At 54.5% G+C, this 19,028-nt stretch overlaps 1 protein-coding gene across 55 annotated transcripts in view, besides 1 other annotated feature; it reads right to left on the bottom strand.

The window, feature by feature from the left end:
- Positions 1–19,028, bottom strand: part of ELN (elastin) — a 41,735-nt gene that overhangs the window by 11,966 nt on the left and 10,741 nt on the right. For 7 of the 55 annotated variants that reach the window (NM_001278915.2, NM_000501.4, NM_001278912.2 and 4 more), the window contains 18 exons: positions 16,691–16,726; positions 15,236–15,328; positions 14,908–14,958; positions 14,774–14,824; positions 14,022–14,063; positions 12,649–12,720; positions 11,725–11,754; positions 11,175–11,246; positions 10,226–10,267; positions 9,741–9,800; positions 9,386–9,439; positions 6,103–6,192; positions 5,959–6,018; positions 4,633–4,779; positions 3,173–3,226; positions 1,507–1,671; positions 1,229–1,270; positions 246–302 (listed from right to left, as the gene is read on the bottom strand). In NM_001278915.2, the coding sequence (NP_001265844.1) occupies positions 246–302; positions 1,229–1,270; positions 1,507–1,671; positions 3,173–3,226; positions 4,633–4,779; positions 5,959–6,018; positions 6,103–6,192; positions 9,386–9,439; positions 9,741–9,800; positions 10,226–10,267; positions 11,175–11,246; positions 11,725–11,754; positions 12,649–12,720; positions 14,022–14,063; positions 14,774–14,824; positions 14,908–14,958; positions 15,236–15,328; positions 16,691–16,726 (1,218 nt within the window). Of the gene's footprint in view, positions 1–245; positions 303–473; positions 561–1,228; positions 1,271–1,506; positions 1,672–3,172; positions 3,227–4,632; positions 4,780–5,958; positions 6,019–6,102; positions 6,193–9,385; positions 9,440–9,740; positions 9,801–10,225; positions 10,268–11,174; positions 11,247–11,724; positions 11,755–12,648; positions 12,721–14,021; positions 14,064–14,773; positions 14,840–14,907; positions 14,959–15,235; positions 15,329–16,690; positions 16,727–19,028 lie in introns of all 55 variants that reach the window. The other 48 variants (XM_011515868.3, NM_001081754.3, XM_011515876.3 and 45 more) reach the window with 21 other exon arrangements.
- Positions 5,465–6,288: an enhancer, noted in NCBI's record as "H3K4me1 hESC enhancer chr7:73465984-73466807 (GRCh37/hg19 assembly coordinates)". NCBI's record gives its function as "activates a minimal SCP1, AML or CMV promoter by ChIP-STARR-seq in primed H9 embryonic stem cells {active_cell/tissue: H9 hESC(primed)}" and the evidence as "EXISTENCE:reporter gene assay evidence [ECO:0000049][PMID:30033119]".

Genomic DNA, 19,028 nt, shown 5'->3' with positions numbered 1-19,028 from the left:
AGGCACCAGGGGCTTTAGGAACAGGGAGGCTCACACTGCTCACCCTGCTCCCCTAATCAGAAACATCACCCACACTCCTAGAGGTCATTCATCAGTGGGCCAAAAGGTCTAAGGAGGGCCCACCCCAGAATGTGACAGCTTAAGTGGGGTGGAAAGGAACAGGAAGCTGGGCGGTCAGACCCCAGAGCAGGGCACAGGAGAAAGCAGTTCTCCGTGAGCCAGTGGCGGGGGTGAGGGGGACTTACCAAACTGGGCGGCTTTGGCGGCTGCTTTAGCAGCTGCAGCTGCTGGGGTCCCCACTCCTGGAGGTGTGAAGAGAAGGGGTGAGAGAGTAATCTCTCACACCCCTCCCTGCTTCCCATCTCTAGGCTCAGTCTTCCCATTTGTAAAATGGTGCAGTCGACCTTGGTCAACTCCAGGGACCCTTCCATGAGACAAACCAAACCCATCTCTGGGCTGGAGACACAGCTCACCTGGCACTCCTCCCGTGCCCGGCACACCTGGGACTGCGCCTGGGGCACCTGGCACTAGCCCACCCAGCACTCCTGCTCCTGCAGCACCTCGGGGAGTGGAGAACTTTCAGCCTTGCCCCTCCCAGTACTCACTTTTTGGGGGAGCAAGGGTGGGTGGGAGAATCGGAGGAAGAAGAGAATGGCTTCCTGGCACCTTCAATTCTTTTTCTTTTTCTTTTTTTTTTATTTTTAGAGTTGGAGTCTTGCTCTGTCACCCAGGCTGGAGTGCAATGGTATAATCTCTGCTCACTGCAGCCTCTACCTCCCGGGTTCAAGCCATTCTCCTGCCTCAGCCTCCCAAGTAGCTGGGACTATAGGTGCCCGCCACCATGCCCAGCTAATTTTTGTATTTTTAGTACAGACAGCATTTCACCATATTGGCCAGGCTGGTCTCGAACTCCTGGCCTCAAGGGATCCACCTGCCTTGGCCTCCCAAAGTGCTGGGATTACAGGCATCAGCCACCCAACCCTGCCAGACACCTTCAATTCTGGGGGTGGGGGGTGGGGTGATGAGCCAGTGACCAACAGTCCTAACAGGGGGCATCTGAAAAGGACAGTAAGAGTGGAGTGTGGCTTTGGAAGATGGGGCAGGGGCCTCGTGACCTTGGTCCAGGCCATTTCAGTCCTGGAGGCCTGGGAGCCAGTTTGCCCTGAGGTTGGACCCTGAGCCCCGCGGGAGAGCAGGACTTGGGGACAGGCAGGGCAGGGGCACTTACCGTACTTGGCAGCCTTGGCGGCAGCTGCTGCCTGAGCTTCGGCTACAAGGAAACGAGAAAGAAAGAGACCCTCAGAAGCCGTGCCTGGGTCTCCTCCGAGCCGTGTTTAAAGCTCTTCTGCCCTGTAAGGCATGGATACGACCTCCCTTCTTCTCCCCCAACTCCTCCCTGAGCACATTCAAGCCCGATCTACAGTCCCCACTGCCCCTGCAGAGCCGAGCAGACAAGAAGCCCCCATCCCTTCTCAACCCATGTCCCCAGGTGTGACTAAGGCTCACGGGAAATGCCAACTCCCGGGACACCTCCGACTCCGGGAACACCTCCGACACCAGGGACACCTGCGACTCCAGGGATACCTCCGACTCCGACACCAAAGCCGGGAAAGCCCCCAGCTCCAACCCCGTAAGTAGGAATGCCTCCAACTCCGACTCCGGGCCTGGCCCCTGCAGAGGGAAGGGAGCCAAGTAGAAAAGAAGCTCAGTGAGAGAGGCTGGGCGGGCTCTGAGGGATGCTGATGGATTGGGAAAGAGGATGTAAATTTCCCCCAGGCCTTGTCCATAAAAGACAGAAAACTGGGATGCCTGGGTCCCCAGCACCTCCACCATGAAGCCTTTAAAAAAAATGTGGGGCCGGGTGCAGTGGCTCATGCCTGTAATCCTAGCACTTTGGGAGGCTGAGGCAGGTGGATCACCTGAGGTCAGGAGTTCGAGACCAGCCTGGCCAATATGGTGAAACCCCATCTCTACTAAAAATACAAAAATTAGCCGGGCGTGGTGGCGGGCACCTGTAATCCCAGTTATATGGGAGGCTGAGGTAGGAGAATCACTTGAACCCAGAAGGTGGAGCTTGCAGTGAGCGGAGATCACGCCACTGCACTCCAGCCTGGGTGACAGAGCAAGACTCCGTCTCAAAAAAAAAAAATTTCTTTTTTTTGGCCGGGTGCAGTGGCTCATGCCCATAATCCCAGCACTTTGGGATCCACGAGGCAGGTGGATCATTTGAGTCCAGGAGTTCGAGACCAGCCTGGCCAACAAGGCAAAACCCTGTCTCTACTGAAAATACAAAAATTAGCCAGGCATGGTGGTGCATGTCTGTAATCCCAGCTTCTTGGGAGGCTGATGCATGAGAATTGCTTGAACCTGGGATGCAGAGATTGCAGTGAGCCAAAATCATGCCACTGCACTCCAGCCTGGGCGACAGAGTGAGACTCTATCTCAGAAAAAAAGAAAAAGAAAAAGAAAAAAAAATTAAAATTTTTCATTTATTTTTTATTTATTTTATTTTTTATTTTTATTTTTATTTTATTTATGGGGTCTTGCTATGTTGCCCAGGCTGGTCTCAAACTCCTGGCCTCAAGCAATCCTCCTGCCTTGACCTCCCAAGTAGCTGGAACAAACAAGCACATGCCACTATGCCCAGCTAATTTTTGCATTTTATGTAGAGACAGGGTCTTGCTATTTTGCCCATGCTGGTCTCTAATTCCTGGCCTCAAGCAATCCTCCTACCTTGGTCTCCCAAATTGCTGGGATTACAGGTGTAAGCCACTGCACCCAGCCCTTTACTGACACTCTTCAGTCCTCCTCTGGCCCCTCTCCTCTCTGAGCACTTCGGGAAGACCCCCTTTGTTGGATGCAGAGAGACTATTGGCAGAATCCACATCCCCAGGCAGTTTTGGGCTCCTCTGAGAGGGCCTTGGCCAGAGCAGGGAAGCTCAGGGTCACTGTCCCCACTGGGAATGCCATCCTGGGACTTTCCCGCCACTCAGCCCCATGGCCCTGTGGTGGGAGACAAATGGGGGAGACATTGTCCTGAGGCCTGCTGGTGACTTGCTCGGTGACCTTGGGCAAGTCACTTCCCTTCTCTGGGCAAGTAGAGGAGGGTCCTTTAGTTCTGGCAAGTAAAGGCCAGGACAGGGTGGGGCAGAGCTGTCAGCATAGCACTCACCGTATTTGGCTGCCTTTGCAGCTGCCTTAGCAGCTGCTTCTGGTGACACAACCCCTGGAGAGACCAAAAGGGACACAAATGCTCAGGAGAGATTGGAGGAGAGCTGTGTAGTATGTATCCCTCTGTCTACCCATCTGTGTGTTGGGCCATCTCCTTTCATGCCAACATAGAGTTGGCTACACATCCATTTATGCACTGATGTCCACCCACCTGCCCATCTGTATACCCAGCCACCCCCATCATCCATCTACCTAATGACCCACCTCTATACCTGTCCATTTGTCTTTTTTTTTTTTTTTGAGATGGAGTCTCAATCTTGTCACCCAGGCTGGAGTGCAATAGCGCGATCTCAGCTCACTGCAATCTCCGCCTCCCCGGTTCAAGCACTTCTCCTGCCTCAGCCTCCCAAGTAGCTAGGATTACAGGCACCCACCACCATGCCTGGCTAATTTTTTTCTATTTTTAGTGGAGATGGGATTTCACCATATTGGCCAGGCTGGTCTCGAACTCCTCACCTCAGGTGATCCGCCCACCTTGGCCTCCCAAAGTGCTGAGATTATAGGCGTGAGCCACTGCTCCCGGCTGTCCATTTGTCTATCCTTGGATATCAATCCACCCACCCAACCACCTAACTCTCTGTCCACTCATCTATCTGCCAACTTATCCCATCTGCCTATCTATCCATTCATCTAACCATCTAGCCAACCATCCATTTTGCATTTGCTTGCCCACCATTCCACCCACCCGTCTATTCATCTGCCCCTCCAACCATGTGCTCATTCATCCACCCATCTACCCATTCATCCACCCGTTCTTTCATTCAGCCTCCCATCCATCCATCCCTCATCCATCTACCCATTCATCCATTCTTCCATCCATCCTCCCATCCATCCATGCCCCCATCCATCCACTCACCTATCCATCCCACACCCATCCACCCACACATCCACTCACCTACCCATCTATCCACCCATTCATCCATCCACTTATTCATCCATCCATCCATCCATCCACCCACCCATCCACCCATCCATCCATCCACCCACCCATCCACCCATCCATCCATCCACCCACCCATCTATCCATCCATTCATTCATCCACCCACCCATTCATCCACTTATCCATCTATCCACCCACTTACCGTTTTATCCACCATAAACTGAACACCTACTCAGCTAAGGGCTAGGAACATGGAGTTGAAAAAGACACGGTTCCTGCCCCCCAGAGAACACTGATAGCCAGAAGGTCAATTGGAAAATATGATACTGATTAGAAGCTAATAAGGAGATTGGTATAGCCCAAGGAAGAGAAGATGAGGGGATGAGACGTGGTCAAGGGTATGGGCAGATGGTTATGGTGTTAGGGAGAATGCAAAAATTTTGGCAATAGTCTCAATATTTCTCTCTAATACACACACACACACACACACACACACACACACACACACAGCCCAGCTCACCTGGAACCGCAGCACCTGGGATCCCAGCACCTGGGACAACTGGAATCCCAGCTCCTGGGACACCAACACCTGGAACGCCAGCTCCTGGGACACCAACTACTCCCGGGCCAAAGCCTGGCCCACCAGGCACTAAGCCTGCAGCAGCTCCTGTGGAAGAAAAAGCATTGTTCCCCTAACCTATGGGAACCTCAGAGGGGCTAGAAGGGTGGTTAGTAGAGTATGGAAGTGACAGTTGGTCCTGAATGCAGGATTGCAGGTGGGTTGACATTTCCTCTGCATGGATCCTACTCATCAGAGAGATGTGGAGAGACTAAGAGGGTCCCTAAAGAGCTCTAGGATTTGAATCAGTGAGCTGGAGGAATGTGATCTCTTTCTTTTTCTTTTCTTTTCTTTCCTTCCTTTCTCTTTCTTTCTTTCTTTCTCTCTCTCTCTCTCTCTTTCTTTCTTTCTCTCTCCCTCCCTCTCTCTCTCTCCCTCCCTCCCTCTTTTCTTTTTCCTTCCTTCCTTCCTTTCCCTTTCTTTCTTTCTCTTTCTCTCTTTTGTTTCTTCCTTTCTTTCCTTCCTGCCTCTCTCTCTCCCTCCCTCCCTTCCTTCATTTCCTTCCTTCCCTCCCTCCCTCCCTTCCTTCCTTCCTTCCTTCCTTCCGTCTTTCCTTCCTTCCTTCCTTCTTTCCTTCCTTCCTTCCTTCCTTCCTGTCTCTCTCTTTCTGTCTCTCTTTCCTTTTTTTTTGAACCAAATTCTCACTTACCCAGGCTGGAGTGCAGTGGCATGATCATAGCTCACTGCAGCCTTGAACTACTAGGCTCAAGCAATCCTCTCACCTCAGCCTTGCAGGTGGCTGGGACCACAGGCATGTGCCACCATGCCTAGATAATTTTTAAATACTTTTTGGAAAGATGGGGTCTCAGTATGTTGCTCAGGCTGGTCTCAAACTCCTGGTTTTAGCCTCCCAAATTGTTGGGATTACAGGCGTGAGCCACTGTGCATAGCTAGAATGTGATCTATTCCTAAAGCACAGTCAGAATTCTCACCACTGGGCACCCATTTAGTTGATGCAGCAGACACCTGTGGGCTGGCCCTGGAGGGGATGGAGTGGGAGGAGCCATGTCCCCTCTGCAGGGTCCCCTCCCTCTGCTGAGTTAATCAGGGCAAAACAATAGAGATGGCATCTCAGGTAGAGTGATCAGAAGGGGCAAAGGTAAGGAGGCATGAACAATGCATATTTGGGAAGGAACAAAGGCCAAGTCCATCTGGCTTTGCGGCTAGGGTCTCCGAGGTCTATGCAGGGGCCCGAGCCGTGGACTTGCCACCCCGGGAGGCACTCACCATACTTGGCTGCCTTAGCGGCTGCTGCTGCAGCTGCAGCTGCAGCTGGAGTCCCAACGCCTGAAAACACAGCCACAGAGGGTGAGGTCCTTGCCCTGTGGCCATCTCAAGGACACACCCGCCCCCTGCTGGGACAGATGTTACCTGCGATGCCTCCAATTCCAGGAATTGCCCCAGGCACGCCAGGAACACCAGCCCCTCCAACACCAGGGAGGACTCCGGCTGCTCCAGCACCTGTTGAGATGGGGACAGTGCAATGTAGTTTCCCAAGGACCCTCCTGAGGACAGGCAGGATGGCCACTTAGACGCCGGCGTTTTCACCAGTGTGATCTTATCCAGGAATGGGGCCCGGGTGTCTCCAGATGGGCCTGTCTGGGGAGGCCCCCACCCCACTCCACTGTTCCTTGACTCTCCCCCAAAGTGTCCATTTCAACACACTCATTAAGGGACTTGTATGTTTTCAGACAAATCCCATTCTAATCACTGCCACATACTGAGAAACCACAAGTGGCCGCTCCCTGGGCCAGAGGGTCCCCTGCAGGAATGTTCAAGACTTCCTCTCCCTGTGTTCCGAAGATGCAGCCAAGTTTGTAATCCAAGCGCCTGGCTGCTTGGCTCTGGCAGCCCCTCACAGCCCTGCTCTCCCGCTCCCACATTGCAGCCGTCCCCACCAGCCGCTGGGGCCAAGGAGCCTCGGGTGCTGGGAGGGGGGCCTGCGGGGCCTCCACTGGGAGGCCCAGCTTCAGGCTTCTCCCCACATTCTCGCTCTCTCGGGCTGGTGGGGAGATAAGGAAAGGGCTTCCCTGGGGCTGAGGATGAAGGAGGACTTCAGCCCTAGTGGTCTGACCCTGAGGTGGGCACTACCTGGGGCAGGGGACAGATGCCCACTCCACCCACTGCACGGGCACAGGAATACCACGTTCCATCTGCAGCCATGCTAGCCAAGAACTCACTGACCTGAGCAGTGAGTTAACATTTTTATAGTACACATTAAATTGATACATAACTATTAAATATTTTAAATGCTTATATATGCACCACCTAAAATTATCTTTCTAACCACCGTGGTACCCATTCCCTCTGCTTGGCCTCCTCTTTCCTGTTTTAACCACATGGTAAGCTCCATCTTTATTTTTAAGGCCTAAATCACATGTCACTTTCTCTGGGAAGCCTTTCTAACTTTCCTCAGGTAGAAAAAAATGCCTCCCGTTTCTTGACTCCCACAACAGTGGCTATATTCTCTAAGAGAACTCTTGTTTGTCCCTGATCTCTGATATGGATGGGTGGGAGGAGGCAGTGAGGGAGGGAAGGAAGGAGGCATGGATGAATGCATGGAGGAAAGAATGAATGAATGAATGAATGAATGAATGAATGAATGCATGGGTGAATGGATGGATGGGTGCATGGATGCATGGAGGAATGGATGGATGGATGGATGCATGCATGGAGAAATGGATGGATGGGTGCATGGAGGAATGGATGGAGGGATGCACGGAAGAATGGGCAGATGGATGGATGGATGGATGGAAGAATCAATGGAGGGAGTGATGGATAGATGGATTGATGGATGGATGGATGGATGGATGGATGGACGAGTGGATGGATGGGTAAATGGATGGATGGATGAGTGGATGGATGAATGGATGGATGGATAGATGGATGCATGGAGGAATGGATGCATGGAGGAATGGATGGATGAGTGGATGGATAGAGGGAAGAATGGATGAATGAGTGGATGGATAGAGGGAAGAATGGATGGAAGGAAGAATTGATGGGTAGATGGATGGATGGATGGATAGATGGGTGAGTGGATGGATGGATGGATGGATGGATGGATGGATGGAAGGATGCATGGAGAAATGGATGGATGGGTGGATGGATGCATGGAGGAATAGATGGATGGATGGATGGATGGATGAATGGATGGAAGGATGGATGCATGCATGGAGAAATGGATGGGTGGGTGCATGGAGGAATGGATGGAGGGATGCATGGAAGAATGGGCAGATGGATGGATGGAAGAATCGATGGAGGGAGTGATGGATGGGTGGATTGATGTATGGATTGATGTATGGATGGATGGATGGATGGATTGAGTGGATGGATGGGTAAATGGATGGATGGATGAGTGGATGGATGAATGGATGGATGGATAGATGGATGCATGGAGGAATGGATGCATGGAGGAATGGATGGATGAGTGGACGGATAGAGGGAAGAATGGATGGATGAGTGGATGGATAGAGGGAAGAATGGATGGAGGGAAGAATTGATGGGTGGATGGATGGATGGAAGGATGAATGCATGGAGGAATGGATGGATGGATGAATGGATGCATGGAGGAATAGATGGTGGATGGATGGATGGAAGGATGGATGGAAGGATGGATGCATGCATGGAGAAATGGATGGATGGGTGCCTAGAGGAATGGATGGAGGGATAGATGGATGCATGGAGGAATGGTTGGATGGATGAATGGGTATATGGGGGAATAGATGGATAGATGGTGGATGGATGAATGGAGCGAGGGAGTGATGGATGGATAAATGGATGGATGGATGAGGGGATGGATGGATGGGTGCATAGATGGATGGATGCATGGAGGAATGGATGGATGCGTGGATGGATGGATGGAAGAATGGATGGAGGGAGGGATTGATGGATGGAAGAATGGATGGAGGGAGGGATTGATGGATGGATGAATGGGTGGATAAGTGGATGGATGGATGGATAGATGGCTGCATGGAGGAATGGAGGATGGATGAATGGAGGGAGGTAGTGATGGATGGGTGGATGAATGGATAGATGGATGAGTGGGTGGATGGATAAATGGATGGATGGATGTGTGGACAGATGGATGGATAGATGGATCCATGGAGAAATGGATGGATGGATGGATGGATGGATGGATGGATAGATGGATGGATGAATGGATGGAGGGAGAGATGGATGGATGAATGAGTGGATGGATGAGTGGATGGATGGATGGATGCATGGATGTGTAAATAAGTAGATGAATGGATAGATAAGTGGATGGATGGATAGATGGATGCATGGAGGAATGGATGGATGGATGGATGAATGGATGGAGGGAGAGATGGATGGATGAATGAATGGACGGATGAGTGGATGGATGCATGGATGGGCAGATGAGTACATGAATGGATGGATGGATAGATGGATGCATGGAGGAATGGGAATGGATGGAGGGAGGGATGGAGAAAGTAATAGATTGATGGAAGGATGAATGGATACATGGATGCATGGAAGAATGGTTGGAGGGAGGGATAGATAGATGGGTGATGTTGAAAATTTTGAGTAAATGGGGGTATGTAGGGGCCACTTTGGAGGCAGGCTGTCAATAGTAATGGGAATGGAGAGGCTAGGGGCCTGGAGGCCACCAGGTGGGGACTCCAGGGGCACTCACCGAACTTTGCTGCTGCTTTAGCTGCCGCTGCTGCTGCTGCCTGGGGGCCAACCCCTGGGGGAAGGAAGCAGAGGGGAGAGACCTTGAAACAGTGCTCCTGTATCTCCAGAGCCCACTTGTTCCCAGCCCCAAGAGAGCCAATCCACTGACATGTGGGTATACATGGGAGCTTCAGAGTAGGCAGAGGCTGATGGAGCTGCCCCACTCCTCCCCCAGGATCCTGCTCCAGGTTTGGACCAGGGTCTGGATGCAGGGTGGGCTGCTGCTTTCAGGAGGGAACCTCACCCACCCCAGGGCTCTGGAGCCTGGAAGATCAGTGCTCCCTTGGCTGGAAGTGACGTGAGGCTTTCCTTACCTGTCCCTGTTGGGTAACCAGCCTTGCCCGCTGCACCAGCCACTCCTCCGGGCCCATAGCCTGCAAAACAGAGAGGCTTGATGGTCATCTGTGCAGACATCACCACTGCTGCCCTCCCCCTCCCCCTGCTCTGCCCTCGGGGCCCAAGCTGTCCTGAGTCTGCACCTGTCACCCCCAGCCAGAGTGAAAACAAATACAAACACATGTATGGAGTTGTTATGTCCATTTTACAGATGAGAACACAGAGGCTCAAAGAAGCAACACAGCTCACTTAAGGTCTCATTATTGATAGGTGGGAGGGCAGGGATGGAGACCCATGCTGAGTCCAAATTCCATGCCCTTTCCTTCTGAGATTCCCACTCCAAGACCCCAACCCTGCCCCAGCGAGGTGCTCTCCTGGCCCAGGGCTGGAAGCACAGCACCCTTGCTAGGACCCTGGAGAGGGAAAGAGCTGGAAGCCCACAGTCTAGAAGGGTCTCACTCACCATAGGGCAGTTTCCCTGTGGTGTAGGGCAGTCCATAGCCACCTGGAGAGAGGACAGAGCAAACTCAGGGGCTGCCCCATGCCTTGCTGGGCTCCCACCAACCTGGGTGGACAGATCTACCCCCACAGGTGCTAAAGCTTGAGACCTCCCACATCAGGGTCCTGAGCTGCTCCCAGGAGAGCAAAGGCGCTGGGTGAAGGAGGGAGAGGACACCTCTGCCCCCGAGGCCCATGGAACACCCATCCCCCTACAAATTCAAGCCCCATCATGGCCCTGGAGTCTGAGTATTTTCCTTACACCCCCTCCTCAGTGGAAAGCATCTTATTGTCTAAGCTGATTGCAGAGGTAGGGGCGGGAGCACGAGTGGGTGGATGTTAGAGGGATCTTTCCAATGAACCGTGTTCCTTTCCACCAGCCTAATAGCTTCAGATCGGGACTATGGGTCTCTGTGCATGAGCGTGTGTGTGTGAGTTCAATACCTGCAGATGACTTTCCCATGCTCTCCTTGGCTGGTGACCATACAGGGGCTTCAACACCCCTTCCCTGCCACCAGAGACACCTGTACCCAGGCTGACTTCTGTGCAGGGAGGTGCAGTGAGTGGTACATTTTTTTTTTCTTCTTTTTCTTTTTTTGGAGGAGAGTCTCACTCTGTTACCCAGGCTGGAGTGCAGTAGCGCGATCTCAGTTCACTGCAACCTCTGCCTTCTGGGTTCAAGAGATTCTCCTGCCTCAGCCTCCCCAGTAGCTGGGATTATAGGCCTATGCCACCACACCTGGCTAATTTTTGTATCTTTAGTAGGGACGGGGTTTTGCCATGTTGGCCAGGCTAGTCTTGAACTCCTGACCTCAAGTGATCTGCCCGCCTTAGCCTCCCAAAGTGCTGGGATTACAGGTGTGAACCACCACACCCGGCCGAGTGGTGCATCTTGAACCGTCCCTCTGACTTACCAGGCAGCTTGGGGGCCTTGATGGGATACCCCAGTGGGACTCCAGGTTGCGGTCCCCCAAAGGGTCCAACTCCTGTGGGAATAAAGAGAGCAAGTTCAGGTCCCAGCACCCCCTTCCAAACCCTCCGCCACCCACTCCACTTTCTGCTCAGACAGAAGGAGCTTGCTACAGCATCCAGAAACCATCCTGCTTCGAGGGACTCCCTGAATCTCCATCATGGGTCAGTTGAGAAATTCCCAGTGACAGGCCACTTCCTCCAGGAAGCTACGGGATTCTCTCCCTCCTGGGGCCTGGGCCCCAGTTTGGGCCTGCAGCCCTTGGCACAGGCTGGAGGGTTTTCTGGACTCCTTTGAATTTTGGGCTGCTATGCCAGTGGGGGGAGCAGGCCTGGGATGGGTGCCACTTTGTGCTACAGCCACTGCAAGACCTGGCTCTGCAGGCGTGGGAGAAATTGGGCAGGCTTGGATGGGATCTTGGGTGCCCAACCCCTCCCAACGCCAGAGCCTCTGCCTGGCTGGCCACCCTGCTTCTCCCACCAGCCTTGCCTCACCTGGGATTCCAGCAAAAGCTCCACCTACACCTGTAATGATAAAAAGCTGTCACTACAGCCCTGGAACTGTGGACACTGGGCCAGACAGCACCAAGGGGCCAGGAGGCCCAAGGAATGGCCAGTTCTTCCCAGACCAGTCATCGCATGCTGCGCTCACATGAACTCTGGGGTTTCTTTTTTCGGAGATGGAGTTTCGCTCTTGTCGCCCAGGCTGGGGTGGAATGGGGTGATCTCAACTCACCGCAACCTCTGCCTCCCAGGTTCTGGCGATTCTCCCGCCTCAGCCTCCCAAGTAGCTGGGATTACAGGTGCAGGCCACCACGCCCAGCTAATTTTTGTATTATTAGTAGAGACAGGGCTTCACCGTGTTGGTCAGGCTGACCTCAGGTGATCCGCCCACCTCGGCCTCCCAAAGTGCTGGGATTACAGGCATGAGCCACTGCATCTGGCCCTCTTTTCTTTCTTTCTTATTTTGCGGGGGAACGGGGTCTCTGTTGCCCAGGCTGGAGTGCAGTGGTGTGATCATAGCTCACGACAACCTTGATCTCCTGGGCTCAAGAGATCCTCCTGTCTTAGCCTCCTGAATAGTTGGGATCATAGGTGTGTGTGACCATGTCCGGCTAATTTTTTAATCATGTTTTTGTAGAGATAAGGTCTTGCTATGTTGCCCAGGCTGGTCTTTAACTCCTGGGCTCAAGCGATCCTCCCAGCTCACCCTCCCAAAATACTGGGATTACAGGTGTGAGCCAGTGTGCCCAGCCACACTCTGAGGTTTTTCAGCACCAGGCTGCCCAGGGCTGGAACATAAAAAGTGTCACCCAGAGGGCCCTGAGCCAGTCCAGGATCCCACCCCATTTCACACCCGGGGCCAGAAGGTGGTTGGAGAGTCCCTGCCATCAGCCCTCTGTCCAGACAGCTGCATACCTGGAGCCTTGGGCTTAACTCCTGCTCCAGTGGGAACTCCAGGGAGCACCCCCACACCGGGGAACCGAGCTCCTGCCGGGGGACAAAGCAGTGAGTGTAGGAAGGCAGGCCTTGCAGGCCCTGCTGGGAACCCCTCCCCTCCTCGGGTCCCCCAGCTGACCTCCCTTGGGACTGACTGTCAGTGACAGGCACGGCTCACGGGGTGGGTGGAGAAAGGACCTGTTTAGTGCTGACTTTCCTTCCCTGTCTGGCTCAAGGTCAGAAGATCTGAGTTTTAATCCTATTTCCCAGCCATGTGAGCTGGTGCCTCAGTCAGCCTCATCTCTATGCTGGAGTTAATCACAAAAGCCGTCTCGACCACCCTCCGCAGAAAAGGTAAAGAGAGGGACAGCTGCTGCGCGGTGCCACTCGCCCGTAGACCAGGGAGGCCCATGCTCTCTGGGGCTCTCGCTCACAACCCAGACCCCCAAAGCAGCCATCCAGCTACAGCTGGGACCATGCCAGCGTCTTCCACCTCTCCTGTCTCCCCTGGGGCTGGGCAGCCTTGGCTTTCAGCGTAGTGGGGGAGAGAGGGAGGAAGGGCCACTCCATCAGCAAATCCCACATAACAGCCTAAATCTGGGCTTTTGGGGGAATTCAGGAGGTCACATGTTGGGTGGGGTGGTCAGGCCCTGGCAGGGGAAAGGAGGGTGAGGGGCAGCTCTTTAGGGTCTCCTGCAGGGCAGACTCATTGGGTGGCCCCTTGGTGACTCACAGCTTTTGGGAAATAGCTGGTCACACTGGGATCTGTCCTCGGGGGCCCGCCTCGGGCTGTGATGATGGTCTGTGCCTGGGATCAGGGCTTGGGTGGGGTGCAGGAAGGCTGGTTGACCTTCAGGGGATGGACGGACTGCCAGGGACCTTATGTCTGTTAGCCTGAGCTTTGGAGTTTGGGGAAATGGCTCAGGTCAGGACCCAGGGCTTCTGGTGGCCTCTGCTTTTCGGGGAGGCGAGGGGGGTACTAGGGAGGCTGAGGGGGCTGCTTTTCTTTTCCTTTTTCTTTTTCTTTGTTTTGAGACAGGGTCTTGCTCTGTCACCCAGGCTGCTGTGCAGTGGCACCATCGTAGCTCACTGCAGCCTGGACCTTCTGGGCTCAAGCAATCCTCCCACCTCAGCCTCCCGAGTAGCTGGGACTACAGGTGCACACCACCATGCCTGGCTAAATTTTTTTGTAGAGACGAGGGCCTTACTATGATGCCCAGGCTGGTCTCAAACTCCTGGCCTCAAGCCATCCTCCTGCCTCAGTCTCCCAAAGCAATGGGATTATAGGCATGAGCCACTGCGTCCTGGCTGCTTTCTTCCTATAGAGTCCCTGTTTCCCTCCTTGCTCTCACCTGGGAGCACGCCACCTGGGTATACACCTGGCAGCCCCACACCTGTGGCCAAAAGAAAGCAAAGTTACTAGCAGCAGCTCAGCCTCCAGGGACCCCTCCCCAGCCCTTCCCACCCAGGCAGCTCCAAGGCCCTCAAACCCACAGCCTCTGTGCCCGACAGGGGCAGCCAGGGACAGACGTGGGGTGGCCACAACCCTCCTCCCACGAGTTTCGGAAGTCATCTGCAAACTCTTCGGTGTGTGGATTTATCTCCGTCTCCTGGAGCCTGTTTACATGGCTGGGCCAGCCCACCTCTGGCTAACAGCTTCCAGATGTCCCTCCCTGCTGCGTAGACTCAGGCAGTCTTTTGTTTAACCTGAAGTCACTTCCTAAAGGGCTTGGTGGGGCAGAACGAGTACCAGATGGGGAGTCAGAGGACACGGGGCTCCCCCAGCTCTGCCGGGACTCGCTGCAGGCCCTTCCACACTGACTCGCCTCTTTGAGCCTCAGTTTCCCCATCTGTCGCCCGACAGCCTGCCACAGAGCCCGTCTCTTTCTACCCCAAGATCCCGGGAGAAGGGCCCGGGAAGTGGGCCAGGCCCCTCCTCCCCATTTCACAGACGCAGGCACCAGCCTGGCTAGTTTCTCTGCCCGACTGAAGCCAGGCCCTGCCCTTCCTCCCCAAGTGCAGTGGCATGGAGAGGGCTCTGTTCCTCCCTGCCCTCTGCCCCTCCCTGCCCTCTGTCCTCCAGCCCCAGGGATTCCGCACTGACCCGGCACTTTCCCAGGCTTCACTCCGGCTCCAGGCTGAGGAACCACCGCACCTGGCACAGAAGGGGCTGCATCAGAGTTGGCTCCACCCAGGCCTGCAACTTTGACCCAGGGAGTTCGGGGATAGCCATCGTACCTGCAGACACTCCTAAGCCACCAACTCCTGGGACACCACCAAGCCCAGCGCCTGCAGAGCCAGGACAGGTGAGGCATTGCGTAAGGAACAGTGGGGAGGCAGAAGGGCCCGGGGCTGCATGCTGAGGGCCCAGCATTGAGGTCTGGCCCCGTTACTAACTCACCTTCAGACTGGGCACAGCTAGCTGCCTCCCTGAGCCCCAGTAGATTGCAACTGACAATCCCACCCACCCGGCTCCCAAGCCTGAGTTGAGGGAAGGTTCTTTGCAAAGCGGAGGGCCCCACGGAAGCCAGAGGGCTTGTGGCATGTCCCAAAGAGCACCACTCACCAGCCTTAGCAGCTTTATAGGCTGCAGCAGCGTCAGCCACTCCACCAGGCACCAGAGCCCCCGGAAAGGTAACTGCGGGGAAGGCGCCGAGCCCTGCGGAGGGGAGGATGGGGTGAGGTCCTGAGCTACCACACCTATGAAGACTCCTACGCTCTGGCCCTGCCTGGCTGTGCCCCACTCAGGAAGCACATTGGAGGCTCTTCCGCTCTCTGCCAGACATCAATGCCTGCAGGACATCCATGTGAGCACTGCTCACCGGTAATGGATTTTTTTTTTTTTGACACAAGGTCTCACTCTGTCACCCAGGCTGGAGTGCAGTGGTGCGATCTTGGCTCACTGCAGCCTCAACCACCCAGGCTCAAGCAATCCTCCCGCCTCAGCCTTCCAAGTAGGTGGAACTACAGGTGCATGCCACTGTGCCCGGCAAATTTTTTTTTTTTTGTATTTTTTGTAGTGACAAGATTTTACCATGTTGCCCAGGCTGGTCTCGAACTCCTGGGCTCAAGCCATCTGCCCGTCTCAGCCTCCCAAAGTGCTAGGATTACAGGCGTGAGCCACCGCGCCTAAGTACCAGAACTAGATTGTGTGCCGAGGTTAATGTGTTAGACAGCTCTGACAAAACTGCATGGCTCTTTTTTTTTTTTTCCCTTTAGAGATGGGGTCTTGTGGCTGGGCACGGTGGCTTGAGCCTGTCATCCCAGCACTTTGGGAGGCCGAGGTGAGTGGATCACTTGAGGCCAGGAGTTCGAGACCAGCCTGGCCAACATGGTGAAACCCCGTCTCTACTAAGAATACAAAAATTAGCCGAGCGTGGTGGTGCACACTGGTAATTCCAGCTATTTGGGAGGCTGAGACACAAGAATCACTTGAACCGGGGAGGTGGAGGTTGTGGTGAGCTGAGATCAACTGCACCAGGTGCGGGGAGCTGAGACTGAGCCACTGCACTCCAGCCTGGGTGACAGAGTGGGACTCTGTCTCAACAACAACAAGAACAACAAAAGAGATGAGGTCTTTCTCTGTCGCCCAGGCTGGAGTGCAGTGACATGATCATAGCTCTCTGAAGCCTCAGCCTCCTGGGCTCAAGGGATCCTCTCACTTCAGCCTTCCTGAAAACTGCATGGATCTTTTGGGGTCAAATTTCCCCACCCACCTCCTCTAGAATGCCTTCCTGAACCCCTGCTGAGTTAAGCGACTCCCTTGGGCTTCCTTGGTCCATGGGGCTTCCTCCATGCAGCCTTCACTACTATGTTATAAAGGAACCCAGGTACTCAGCTGTGATTTCCTCATGTCCTGGGCAGCTGCTTGGGGCAGTTGGTATCAGCATCAGTCCCCGTCAGTGCCCAGGACGGAACCTGGCCTGCACCCTTGTTCCATGACCGTGCTGCATACCAGCCCTGGGTTGAGCTCAGGGGCTGGTCCCCACAGGGGATATCTTTCTTGGGTGTCAGCACTCACCTGCCCCAAGGCCAGCACCCGCAAGCCCTCCGGGAACTGTGGATAAGAAACAGAGACAGGAGTGTAGGCAGTGTTCCTAGGCCCAGAGTGGGAAATGTCTCCTGGAGTTAGGGCAGTGCTGTGATCAGCCACTCAGGTCCCTAGGCTGGTCCCTAAGCCTGTGATGCTCAGGGTCGATCCTGATAAAATAGCATCCACCAGTAGTTTAGTGAGCGACTACTATGTGCAGTGCAGGTGTCATTGCACCGATCCCTAACAAGCCTGGGCCAGGCCTGTGCTTCTCCTAGAAGCCCTGCTGGCTAACAAGATTCAGCAGGGCTTTCAGCAAGGGCTGGGACAGAGCAGAGTCCGTGAGCGAGACCTCACCCCAGGCCAGTGAGGTCTCTCTTCTGCTTCCTTGCAGATATCTCTTGACTCAGTCCCCTCCCCTTCACCTGCATCGGGGAACTCCTGTGTCCCCACTACCCATCTGTCCTTCCATCCAGCCTGCCCTGCAGCCCAGGAGCCTCCTACTAAGATGTTTATGAGACGCCAAATGGGTCCCTCTGGCTCTCTCCTCCCCACATCTGGGCCCAATCGCTTCGTCTCCCACTGCGGGAGACATTCCACTGCCTTGGCCAGGACCAATGGGCCATCAGGTCAGAGTTCACAACCATGCCAGGTTTGTTTCTAATTATGTGACGATCTCTCCTACAAGTGCTAGTCCTGAGCCTCAGGGGTGAGTCCTCTCCAGGGATGGATCCCAAACATGGAGCCTGCTGTACCCTGGAGAGGTCCCCCCTGGCTTTCCCTGGGTGTGGTCTCCGTTACTAACCACTCCTCGTCCCTCATTTCCTACTAGTGGGAGCTGGACCCCTCTGAAACTCAGCCAGCCTCATGTAAGAAGCATCTTTGCCTCCGGGCGGGAGTGCCTGGCGATCAGGCAGGAGTCACTTCCCAGCACCCGGGCCAGACCCACCTGCGCTGGCAGTCGCTTCTCTCAAGCCAGGCATGTTTCCTGAGCTCTGAGAGGGCAAGGGACATGCTCAGACCTTTCCTGTCCACAGAGGGGCTGGGAGGGGAAGCTGAGGACTGCACAGGAAGTGAGAAGAGGCTGGGGCTGCAGTGGGGGGCAGGCAGCTTCTCTGGGGCCATCTTCCTTTTTCCCATGATCCCAGCCTGAGCATCCTGTCATGTGGCCTGACCACTTCTGTCTCTGCCTGCCCTCCTTCCTTTGCACTCACCTGCCCCAAATGCCCCAAGGATTCTAGCATCTGGAAAGGAGGAGAAAGCGGGGAGGGGCTGACCACAGCTGGGAGTCCAGGGACCTGGCCAGCTCCATCCTCCTTCTTTCTAGAGTCAGAGAGTTCTAGATTCAGACCCTGCTGCTGCTACCCAGCCTCCATGAGCACAAGCAGGTCAATTTGCCTCTCCGATGAGGCTTAGTTTTTGCCATCTACAAAATGGCCATTATATCACCTGCCTTGCTGGGACCAGTGAGCATGTGTGCAGAAAGCACCTAGTTGTGCAACCTACCCAGGGCACACAGTGGGTGCTCCCAGTTCCTTCTTGTCCATGCCCGTGCCCCTCTCAGTGGGCGGCTGGCCTCTGGCTAGTGCTCAGGGTGTTGGGTGTGCAGGCTTCCAGCTGCCTGGTCCCCCGCTGAGAGCTGAGGCAGGGCAGGGCCAGCTTGGACCTGTGGTGGCGCCCACGTGGAAAAGCAGCTGCCAGGCCACCCACCCTCTGTCACCAAGGGATTAATTGTTCCCAAGCATGACACGCGCTGCCTGTGCTCCATTCCATCCTGCCTGGGCAGGCCCAGACGTCCTGGCAGCCCGGATGTGGGGGCCTCCCTGGGGGTGCCATGGGGGCTCTGCCGACCCTTCTGTAGCCCTGAGTCTTCGGGGAGGTCATGGAATCCAGCCCCTTGCCTGGAAACACTGCCCTTTTTATCAGAAGGAGATGCTCTGACTTTCCTTTGGATTGACTCCTTCACCCTGAGCTGGAAGTTCTTTCAGAAGTCTAACCTAAATCTTTCATTAACAAAAGCTTCACTTTTGCAACTACACATCCTGGAACTTCGTAGGGAGTTGTCTGTCTTTCCTCTGGTGTTTAACCACAACCTGCTATGTGTCTCTTGCTCCTAGTGGGATCAATGAATGTACCCTCCAGCTTTGCAGGCACAACCTCCTCAATTTGGGTCTTCTAGGCCAAGCACAGACCTACCTCCACACCTCTGCACCACTATCATCTCCCCTGTCCTCTCTTCACCGTCAAAGACCCTGCTAAGAACCCTCACCTGCTCCAGGAAGACAGGGTATAGGTGCTGGCGGGGATAAGTGGCAAGCTCCCAGGGTCT

Source organism: Homo sapiens, chromosome 7 (assembly GCF_000001405.40).
Source record: "Homo sapiens chromosome 7, GRCh38.p14 Primary Assembly".
Taxonomy (NCBI): domain Eukaryota; kingdom Metazoa; phylum Chordata; class Mammalia; order Primates; family Hominidae; genus Homo; species Homo sapiens.
Note: the sequence above shows the minus strand (reverse complement) of the source record. Positions and strands in the feature narration are given on the sequence as shown.